Source organism: Homo sapiens, chromosome 2 (genome assembly GCF_000001405.40).
Source record: "Homo sapiens chromosome 2, GRCh38.p14 Primary Assembly".
NCBI classification, from domain to species: Eukaryota; Metazoa; Chordata; class Mammalia; order Primates; family Hominidae; genus Homo; species Homo sapiens.
Window position 1 is genome coordinate 66,347,890 of NC_000002.12, and position 12,024 is coordinate 66,359,913.

At 40.8% G+C, this 12,024-nt stretch overlaps 1 non-coding gene across 1 annotated transcript; it reads right to left on the reverse strand.

The window, feature by feature from the left end:
• Nucleotides 1-10,359: 10,359 nt before the first annotated feature.
• MIR4778 (microRNA 4778) lies at nucleotides 10,360-10,439 on the reverse strand. Its single transcript, NR_039938.1, has one exon. It is a non-coding gene; the product is annotated as a microRNA 4778 (primary transcript).
• Between the last annotated feature and the right edge of the window lie 1,585 nt (nucleotides 10,440-12,024).

Below are 12,024 nucleotides of genomic sequence, written 5' to 3' on the forward strand. Positions count from 1 at the left end.
TTAGATCCCATTTGTCAATTTTGGCTTTTGTTGCCATTGGTTTTGGTGTTTTAGACATGAAGTCTTTGCCTATGCCTATGTCCTGAATGGTATTGCCTAGGTTTTCTTCTAGGGTTTTTATGGTTTCAGGTCTAACATGTAAGTCTTTAATCCATCTTGAATTTATTTTTTTATAAGGTGTAACGAAGGGATCCAGTTTTAGTTTTCTACATATGGCTAGCCAGTTTTCCCAGCACCATTTATTAAATAGGGAATCCTTTCCCCATTGCTTGTTTTTGTCAGGTTTGTCAAAGATTAGATTGTTGTAGATGTGAGGAATTATTTCTGAGGGCTCCGTTCTGTTCCATTGGTCTATATCTCTGTTTTGGTACCAGTACCATGCTGTTTTGGTTACTGTAGCCTTGTAGTATAGTTTGAAGTCAGGTACCGTGATGCCTCCAGCTTTGTTCTTTTGGCTTAGGATTGACTTGGTGATGCGGGCTCTTTTTTGGTTCCATATGAACTTTAAAGTAGTTTTTTTCAATTCTGTGAAGAAAGTCACTGGTAGTTTGATGGGGATGGCATTGAATCTATAAATTACCGTGGGCAGTATGGCCATTTTCACGATATTGATTCTTCCTATCCATGAGCATGGAATGTTCTTCCATTTGTTTGTGTCCTCTTTTATTTCCTTGAGCAGTGTTTTGTAGTTCTCCTTGAAGAGGTCCTTCACATCCCTTGTAAGTTGGATTCCTAGGTATTTTATTCTCTTAGAAGCAGTTGCAAATGGGAGTTCACTCATGATTGGGCTGTTTGTCTGTTATTGGTGTATAAGAATGCTTGTGATTTTTGCACATTGAGTTTGTATCCTGAGACTATGCTGAAGTTGCTTATCAGCTTAAGGAGATTTTGGGCTGAGATGATGGGATTTTCTAAATATACAATCACGTCATCTGCAAAGAGGGACAATTTGACTTCCTTTTTTCCTAATTGAATACCCTTTGTTTCTTTCTCCTGCCTGATTGCCCTGGCCAGAACTTCCAACACTATATTTAATAGGAGTGGTGAGAGAGGGCATCCCTGTCTTGTGCCAGTTTTCAAAGGGAATGCTTCCAGTTTTTGCCCATTGAGTATGATATTGGCTGTGGGTTTGTCATAAATAGATATTATTATTTTGAGATACGTCCCATGAATACCTCATTTATTGAGAGTTTTTAGCAGGAAGGGCTGTTGAATTTTGTGAAAGGCCTTTTCTGCATCTATTGAGATAAACATGTGGTTTTTGTCTTCCTTTTTGTTTATATGCTAGATTACGTTTATTGATTTGCGTATGTTGAACCAGCCTTGCATCCCAGGGATGAAGCCCACTTGTTCACGGTGGATAAGCTTTTTGATGTGCTGCTGGGTTCAGTTTGCCAGTATTTTATTGAGGATTTTTGCGTCAATGTTCATCAGGGATATTGGTCTAAAACTCTCTTTTTTTGTTGTGTCTCTGCCAGGCTTTGGTATCAGGATGATGCTGGCCTCATAAAATGAGTTAGGGAGGATTCCCTCTTTTTTCTGTTGATTAGAATAGTTTCAGAAGGAATGGTACCAGCTCCCCTTTGTACCTCTGGTAGAATTTGGCTGTGAATCTCTCTGGTCCTGGACTTTTTTTGTTGGTAGGCTATTAATTATTGCCTCAATTTCAGAGCCTGTTATTGGTCTATTCAGGGATTCAACTTCTTCCTGGTTTAGTCTTGGGAGAGTGTATGTGTCCAGGAATTTATCCATTCCTTGTAGATTTTCTAGTTTATTTGCGTAAAGGTGTTTATAATATTCTCTGATGGTAGTTTGTATTTCTGTGGGCTTGGTGGTGATATCCCCTTTATCATTTTTTATTGCATCTATTTGATTCTTCTCTCTTTTCTTCTCTATTAGTCCTGCTAGCAGTCTATCAATTTTGTTGATCTTTTCAAAAAACCAGCTCCTGGATTCATTGATTTTTTGAAGGGTTTTTTGTGTCTCTATCTCCTCCATTTCTGCTCTCATCTTAGTTATTTCTTGTTTTCTACTAGCTTTTGAATTTGTTTGCTCTTGCTTCTCTAGTTCTTTTAATTGTGATGTTAGGGTGTCAATTTTAGATCTTTCCTGCTTTCTCTTGTGGGCATTTAGTGCTATAAATTTCCCTCTACACACTGCTTTAAATGTGTCCCAGAGATTCTGGTATGTTGTGTGTTTGTTCTCATTGGTTTCAAAGAACATCTTTATTTCTGCCTTCATTTCGTTACATACCCAGTAGTCATTCAGGAGCAGGTTGTTCAGTTTCCATGTAGTTGAGCGGTTTTGAGTGAGTTTCTTAATCCTGAGTTCTAGTTTGATTGCACTGTGGTCTGAGAGACAGTTTGTTATAATTTCTGTTCTTTTACATTTGCTGAGGAGAGCTTTACTTCCAACTATGTGGTCAATTTTGGAATAAGTGCAATGTGGTGCTGAGAAGAATGTATATTCTGTTGATTTGGAGTGGAGAGTTCTGTAGATGTCTATTAGGTCCGCTTGGTGCAGAGCTGAGTTCAATTCCTGGATATCCTTGTTAACTTTCTGTCTCGTCAATCTGTCTAATGTTGATGTGGGGTGTTAAAGTCTCCCATTATTATTGTGTGGGAGCCTAAGTCTCTTTGTAGGTCTCTAAGGACTTGCTTTATGAATCTGGGTGCTCCTGTATTGGGTGCATATATATTTAGGATTGTTAGCTCTTCTTGTTGAATTGATCCCTTTACCATTATGTAATGGCCTTCTTTGTCTCTTTTGATCTTTGTTGGTTTAAAGTCTGTTTTATCAGAGACTAGGATTGCAACCCCTGCCTTTTTTTGTTTTCCATTTGCTTGGTAGATCTTCCTCCATCCTTTTACTTTGAGCCTATGTGTGTCTCTGCATGTGAGATGGGTTTCCTGAATACAGCACACTGATGGGTCTTGACTCTATCCAATTTGCCAGTCTGTGTCTTTTAATTGGAGCATTTAGCCCATTTTCATTTAATGTTAATATTGTTATGTGTGAATTTGATCCTGTCATTATGATGTTAGCTGGTTATTTTGCTTGTTAGTTGATGCTGTTTCTTCCTAACATTGATGGTCTTTACAATTTGCCATGTTTTTGCAGTGGCTGGTACCGGTTGTTCCTTTCCATGTTTAGTGCTTCCTTCAGGAGCTCTTTTAGGGCAGGCCTGGTGGTGACAAAATCTCTCAGCATTTGCTTGTCTGTAAAGGATTTTATTTCTCCTTCACTTATGAAGCTTAGTTTGGCTGGATATGAAATTCTGGGTTGAAAATTCTTTTCTTTAAGAATGTTGAATATTGGCCCCACTCTCTTCTGGCTTGTAGAGTTTCTGCTGAAAGATCAGCTGTTAGTCTGATGGGTTTCCCTTTGTGGGTAACCTGACCTTTCTCTCTAGCTGCCCTTAACATTTTTTCTTTCATTTCAACTTTGGTGAATCGGAGAATGATGTGTCTTGGAGTTACTCTTCTCAAGGAGTATCTTTGTGGCATTCTGCGTATTTCCTGAATTTGAATGTTGGCCTGCCTTGCTGGATTGGGGAAGTTCTCCTGGATAATATCCTGCAAAGTGTTTTCCAACTTGATTCCATTCTCCTCGTCACTTTCAGGTATACCAATCAGACGTAGATTTGGTCTTTTCACATAGTCCCATATTTCTTGGAGGCTTTGTTCATTTCTTTTTACTCTTTTTTCTCTAAACTTCTCTTCTCACTTCATTTCATTCATTTGATGTTCAATCACTGATACTCTTTCTTCCAATTTATCGAATTAGCTACTGAAGCTTGTGCATGCGTCACGTAGTTCTCATGCCATGGTTTTCAGCTCCATCAGGTCATTTAAGGACTTCTCTACACTGGTTATACTAGATAGCTATTCTTCTAATCTTTTTTCAAGGTTTTTAGCTTCTTTGCAATGGGTTTGAGCTTCCTGCCTTAGCTCAGGGAAGTTTGATCATCTGAAGCCTTCTTCTCTCAACTCATCAAAGTCATTCTCCTTCCAGCTTTGTTCCATTGCTGGTGAGGAGCTGGTTCTTTGGAGGGGGAGAGGCGCTCTGATTTTTAGAATTTTCCGCTTTTCTGCTCTGTTTTTTCCCCGTCTTTGTGGTTTTAACTACCTTAGGTCTTTGATGATGGTGACCTACAGATGGAGTTTTGGTGTGGATGTCCTTTCTGCTTGTTAGTTTTCCTTCTAACAGTCAGGACCCTCAGCTGCAAGTCTGTTGGAGTTTGCTGGAGGCCCACTCCAGACCCTGTTTGCCTGGGTATCAGCAGCGGAGGCTGCCGAACAGCAAATATTGCTGAACAGCAAATGTTGCTGCCTAATTGTTCCTCTGGAAGCTTCATCTCAGAGGGCTACCCGGCCATGTAAGGTTTCAGTCTGCCCCTACTGGGGGGTACCTCCCAGTTAGGCTACTCAGGGGTCAGGGACCCACTTGAGCAGCAGTTTGTCCATTCTCAGATCTCAAACTCCATGCTGAGAGAACCACTACTCTCTTCAAAGCTGTCAGACAGGTACATTTGAGTCTGCAGAGTTTTCTGCTGCCTTTTGTTCAGCTATGCCCTGCCCTCAGAGGTGGAGTCTACAGAGGCAGGCAGGCCTCCTTGAGCTGCGGTGGGCTCCACCTAGTTCGAGCTTCCTGGCTGCTTTGTTTACCTACTCAAGCCTCAGCAATGGCAGGCGCTCCTCCCTCAGCTTCGCTGCCGCCTTGCAGTTCCATCTCAGACTGCTGTGCTAGCAATAAGCGAGGCTCCATGGGCGTGGGACCTTCCGAGCCATGCACGGGATATAATCTCCTGGTGTGCTGTTTGCTAAGACCATTGGAAAAGCGCAGTATTAGGGTGGGAGTGACCTGATTTTCCAGGTGCCGTCTGTCACAGCTTCCCTTGGCTAGGAAAGGGAATTTCCTAATTGCTAGCACTTCCCAGGTGAGGCGATGCCTTGCCCTGCTTCAGCTCACGCTTGGTGGGCTGCACCCACTGTCTTGCACCCACTGTCCGACGAGTCCCAGTGAGATGAACCCAGTACCTCAGTTGGAAATGCAGAAATCACCCATCTTCTGCATCACTCACGCTGGGAACTGTAGACTGGAGCTGTTCCTATTTGGCCATCTTGGAACCACCTCCTCTCTAGTCTTGATCTTTTAGTACCACCGACAATCAGGTAATTTTAACAGAAGTGACGTGGAGAAGAGGTAGCAGTCTTGCTGCCATTTCTTCACTGTTTGAGATATAGTAAAGATATAAGATATTCTCTATGCCCTTGAGATATAAAGAAAAAATTGAGAAAAATATCACTTTTTTATAATTTGAGTTAAAATTCTAAACAAGAGTCTTCCTTGATTTTGCTCTACATTAATATCTCTTTATGAACTTTTGAAAAGGGTCTCAAACTCAAGATGGAAAGACTAACAGCGGTCCTACATTAACTTCCTCACTCTTTTGGGGAGGGGAGAGAATGGAGGGGTGTGTTAGTAAATATTGGAGGCTGCTGGGGGCAGTAGGATGCTTTTTTGCAAGCTCAGACCAAATACGTGGTTACTATTCGTTCACTCACTTAAGAATTATTTACTTAGCATCTTCTATGAACCAGGCTTCATACTGGGTGCTGCCAATGTGGAGATGTGTGGGCCTGGTTCCCATCCTCCAAGAATTCACACTGGAGAAAAGACACATAAGGAAGATATTACACGAAAGTCTGCTTGGAGTCCTGTGGCTATACTCAAATCTGTCCACACAATTTTCATGAGCTTTCAGGTACATGGCTGTAATAATCTAGGAGCACAGGAGAGGATAAACTCTCCAGGTGTTTGTGGCTGGTACATCTAGCAATATGGTCTGAGGGAAATCCAGCTCTGCTCTGCGATGACCTGATTCATCCCACTCTGAAGTTGCTGCTCCCCAGGAAAGTATTGGTACAGTAGGGATCCAACAACAAAAGGACACAGTGGGACCAGAAAGCACAGTTCAACCATCTTTTCCTTTAAGCCCTCAAATAATAGCTTCTTTACAATCCTTTTCTGTTTATTCCAACACAAGTCACTTTGTGGTCACTTCCTATTGCTTTTTCCTCTTGATTGCGCATCATATTTTCCTTCTTGAAATGTTTAAGAATGTTAAATTATATGCTAGATATTGTGAACAATACATTGTAGAATATCTGTCTGGCAGGACAAACTCAATACCCTTTAAGGAAAGAGGATATAATTCATATGAATTAATCAAATTACTGGTAGATTCTTTTCATCCTCTTATATTTGATTTTATTCTTAGAAGAATGATCTATTTTGTTTTTTGTTTTTGTTTTTTTACCTAGTTTCAGGGCAGGATGCTTACATTAAGGCATAGTTATTATTCCTTTACAAAGCATGACCTTCCTAGGGTTCACATGAATGCCCCAGATTTTTCTTTCTTCTGTGGGCGAGAACTCCAGCATCACCCTAACCTGCAAGGCCTCTGTTATCAGTGTTCAGCTTTCATCTCCATGACGTCTATCTATGCCATGTCTCATGGAGTCTCAACCTTTACCTGCACAGCCAATCCTTTAGCCAAGGAATTCTCATAAGTCAATATGCAGACTTTCAGAGACCCCCCACTGCACAGCCCCTACTTATCCACTACCCTACCTAGGAAATTTCAGCTATTTCAGGAGCCTGGAACTCTGATCCCTGCTTCTTCAGCTCAGCAAGACCATTGTTCCATTGGGTTCCACCTCCTTGTGCTGCAGCTCTGTCCCCAAACACAAAAGTGTGGCTCATCTTGTGTGTTTCCCATCTCTCAAAGATCATAGTCCCATGCCTCCTATTCAATGCTTGAAAATAACTGTCTCATATATTTGTTCGGGTTTATAGTTGTTTTCAACAGAGGGCAAGTTTGATACCAGTTACTTGCTCATAGTCAAAAGCAGGAGTCAACATGCTTTCTTAAAAAAAATTATTGATGTTATTTTCTGCATATCTTGACTAGAACTCTACCACCCCATATTTGAGGAGTTAAGAACAAGCCAACATCCCCAGAGAAGATGGCAGAGCAGAAAGAAGAAAGGAACCTGGATCTTTAACAAATTTACCAACCCTGGTATCTCTCATCTTCACATTTCTTGTAACATGATATTGTAAATGTTATTGTTGCTTAAGACTCTTTCAATTGGGTTTCCAGTTATTTGCAGCAACTGGCACCTGTAGTAGCTGATACAAGTCATCATGCCTAAGTCTTCTTTTCTTAAGGTGGAACAACTTCAGCTACTCTAGGTATTTCATACAGGGTATCATGTGAACTCAAATTCTCTCAAATTTTTTTTGTCTCAATTATGATAGTGTGCTATGAACTGAGGAGTATGATTAATTCAAACCTCTGCCCTAAGACTGTGTGTGAGTGAGAGAGAGAGAAAGAAAGACAAAGAGAAGGTGGGGGTAGGGAAGTAGATACATATTGTGGTCTCTAATTATAGCAAATTCACCCAGACAATGAAATCACACAAAGTTTTACTTGGAAAACTCCAAAACAAGAGGTCATCTAATTCAAGGTTCTCATCCTAGGGTTCATTGACATCCCAGGATGGGCTTGGGTGAAGTTGGACATAACACATTTGAATGTGAATTTTGCTAAACAGAAGTTCAGTACCTTTCAAATGTTTTTGTATGGCTATATGCCCCCATCCTTAAGAGTTAGAAAGCACCAATGCTGACCAAACTTTTTACTTTCTAGACAAAGAAAGATTATCCCAATAAACTATGACTTATGCAAAGCATAGGGCCAGTGTATTAGTCTGTTTTCACATTGCTGATAAAGACATAACCAATTCACAAAAGAAAGAGGTTTATTGGACTTACAGCCCCCACGGCTGGGGAGGCCTCACAATCGTGGCAGAAGGCAAGGAGGTGCAAGTCACATCTTACGTGGATGGCAGCAGGCAAAGAGAGAGCTTATGCAGAGAAATTCTGGTTTTTAAAATCATCAGATCTCGTGAGACCTATTCACTATCACGAGAACAACATGGGAAAGACCTGCCCCCATGATTCAATCATCTTCCACTGGGTCCCTCCCACAACACGTGGAAATTATGGAACTACAATATGAGATTTGGGTGGGGACACAGAGACAAGCCACATCAAGCTAGTTAGAGCCAGAACTGAGACATTAATCAAGGATGCCTAATTTTTCTAAGTTACTTTCAGACCAATCTCATTTATTGGTAGTACTTTCTTCCCTGCTTGCATGAGGGTGGGAGACAAATCTTGGCTCTCCAAACAGCCAGACCCCAGACTCTGTGTTTGACCTTGTGCAATAGATTTGTTTCTTTAAGCCTGGATTGGCTGGGCACGGTGGCTCATGCCTGTAATCCCAGCACTTTGGGAGGCCAAGGTGAGTGGATCACCTGAGGTCAGGAGTTCAAGACCAGCCTGCCCAACATGGCAAAACCCCATCTCTACTAAAAATACAAAAAATTAGCCTGGTATGGTGGTGCATGCCTGTAACCCCAGCTACTCAGGAGGCTGAGGCAGGAGAATTGCTTGAACCCAGGAGGCGGAGGTTGCAGTGAGCCGAGATCACACCACTGCACTCCAGCCTGGGTGACAAGAGCCAAACTCTGTCCAAAAATAACAATAATAAAAAAAAGCCTGAGTTTACAAATCTATAGAAGGAAATTTAAAATATGATCTCTGTTCCCATCAAATTTCTTTGTTTCAAGTGATATAAACTAACTATGGCTGATTAGACAGTAGGGAATTTATTGCAAGGGTATGAGAAAGCACGTAGAAAAGGCTTCTTTGTGGCTCAACTCCACAACACTGTATTTTATGTTTATGAAAACATTGGGAAGGCTGAACTACCAGACTCAGAAATGGCATAAAGAAGGGGTGCAGGTAACAGCCTGAGCCACAGCCAAAATGATGCCACAATGTGAGTGAGGTGGAGACTCTATCACTCCACCTGACTGTTGCTGACACTGAATACTGAGGCTTATCTGTTATTGCTACTGAACTTAAACATTTAATGTCACCACCACAGCCTCTGTAAACCCTGGAAGCTGATGTTGAAGCCACCTCTGCAACCATTAAAGGAGAAATAAATTCTCTGCTTTCCTGATTTTTGCATCTCTCAATGCAAATTTAAAGTCTGAGGCAGGTACCTCTGTTTGGCTGAGTATAGGTGATGTGTTCATACCTTAGCTGCAGGGTAGCCTGGGACAAGAATTTTTTTGACTTCCATACTGGGAAATTCAAGCAAAATTCATATTATTAGAAATTTCTCAAATGTAAGAAATGGGTTCAAAGGCTGAACTCAGCCATTCAAAGGCTGAAACCTCTCAAATAAAACTAACATGGATCTACTACTCCATCCCATTAGGTTGGCGTGAGGATTAAATAGATAATAATAGATAGAGTGTCTAGGAAATAATAAGGACTCAATGTTCATTTTCATCATCATTGTATTACTCTTGTAAGAGTCAGCTTATCTTCATGGTATGCCAGTTGTCTGTAATACCTATAGCTGAGAAAAGTGAAATAAGGATTTGAAGTGTTTTTATTTCACATAATGGGAAAATGTAGGGAAAATTAAGGAAATGAGGAGTAATGCCAGAAGAGATGAAAGTGAAAAGACTGACAGACAGAGTCAGATAAGGAAAGTAAATGGGCATTAGATTAGTTGCAGAATTACTGACTCCTGTGAAGGAATGGATTGTCCAGGGAAAAGAAGCTAGCCAAGAAATGGAGACCTGGGAATGAGATCCATGCTACTCCGAGCTCTAATCCTAGGGCTGAATCTCCCAATCTAGGGTGCCCATACAAAAAGAACACAATAATTAAAGACAAATAAGGAATAGAAATATTCTGGGTCTTTTTGGAATTAAAACCTTATAGCTTGCATCTGTTTGGTAGTGGTGATTGTAGTGGTGGTCCTAGTGGTGTGTGTATGTGTGCAAGTTCATTTTGTTTTGTTTTAAACTTACAGAACAGAATTGAGATTTGGATTTTAAGGGAATTTTGATATTTCATTTTGACAGCTCTCCTTCTGACACTTCATTCTTCTTCTTCTCGCACCCAAACACACACAGGCATACAAACCTCTTTGGGATTGGCTGCAGAAACAGTGCCTCCCAGAGTATTCCCATTCATCTCATTTGTGCTTAGCTGACCTCTAATACCTAGAGGAGAACTGTAGTGCAAACATCAAGAAAATAATAATGTAATTCTAGAATAATATCCCTAAGACTTATAAATATGAAGCAAATATAAGAACCCTTTTTTCAGTGGACAAGAATTGCTTGTCTATTCATCACATCCTTTTTTTGTTTGGAAAGTGTCTCCTCTCTCTCTCCATGTTGACTCTAGAAGGACTATAAGCCACATATTCAACTCTGCAAAGGAAGAAGAGGGCTTCACTTCTTCTTACCTCTTCTTCCTTTACAGAATTGGACATGTGATTTACACTGACCAGTCAGTTTACCTTATATGTCTTAATGCCTGTGATTAGTCCAGAGAGAAATACATGAAGTAGGGATAACCAATCCAAACACTGCTTTGGAGTTTGATTGTTGGGATAAAGTCTCTCTTGAGTTCACAAAGCTTCAGGATCATGTATTCATGTGGCAAGCACCAGGATGCTCTCACCACCTTATGGAAAAAGCTTGCCTGAAGCTGAACAAAGGCAAATGGAGCTCAACATACCTCTGAACAATCTGAGCCAACAACTTCTCCTTTTGACTTCAGCTACTTTAAGTTGAGGTTTTATTACTTGGTGTATTAGTCTGTTCTCACACTGCTATAAAGAACTACCTGAGTATGGGTAGTTTATAAAGAGGGATTTAATTGACTCACAGCTCCACAGGTTGTATAGAAGACATGGCAGGGGAGGCCTCAGGAAACTTACAATCATGGAGGCAGGGCAAATGGGAAGCAAGCACATCTTTACATGGCAGCAGGAGAGAGAGAGCAAAGAGGGAAGTGCTACACACTCTTAAACAACCAGATCTCATGATAACTCACTATCACAAGAACAGCATGGGAAAAATCTACCCCCATAATCCAATCACCTCTTACCGGGTCCCTCCCCCAACACTGGGGGTTACAATTCAACATGAGATTTGGGTGGGGACACAGAGCCAAATCATATCACTTGGAAGTTGAGAATTTTATATCTCATACTTCCCCGCCCCAAGAAAAAAATAATTTCATACCCCCTTAGTGATATGAGTTGAACTTTTAGTATGACTTAAGAAAACATACTGACAAAAATGGCCAATAATCTCAGTAAAGCTTTTAAAATATTATTTACTCAGACTCTAGAGAATGCTTGCACAACAAGTAGATTAATAGACACCTAACAATAACTTATTGGTCCCCCCATCCAAGGTTAAAAATCATTGTTTATAAGTGCTTATGCTTTCAAAACAATACTGAGAAAAATGCACTTCTGAGTGTTATCATATTTTGAAGACTATAAACCCTTCATCCACTTTTGAAAAGAGGATGATATTGAAAAAGCCATTTGATAAGCTTTTATATCCAAAGAAACAAAGAAGCAGTTTGCTTCGAAGACTCCAGGGACACAAGGCCACCACCTGTGAGGACACAGGAGCCACCTATGAGCCATGAAAGTTTGGAAACTTGCCTGGGAAGTTCATCAGGGTCACCACCAGAGGAAATCATTGATATTCATGGAGAATTGGATGCTCAGCAGTGCAGTGGCATATAGGTCACACACAAGACAAAAACTGTTTCTGAGGTTTGAATGCAATGCCATTAGTGAGCCGTTACTGATATGTTTGACACTGTATCAGAAAATTTTACCAAAGCTCCCTTTTCTACTAAAAGCAACTGAGGGGAAAAGAAAATGGTAGAAAACCAAAAATAAAAGCAACTATTTCCCGGGAAGACCAATGAAGCCCTTCAAAAAGCTGACTGGATTGTATTAAACTGCTAAGGTTTGAATGCATCTCCCCAGAGTTCATGTGTTGGAAACTTAATCCCCAATGCAACAGCATCGAGAGGTGGCACTTTTGAGAGGTG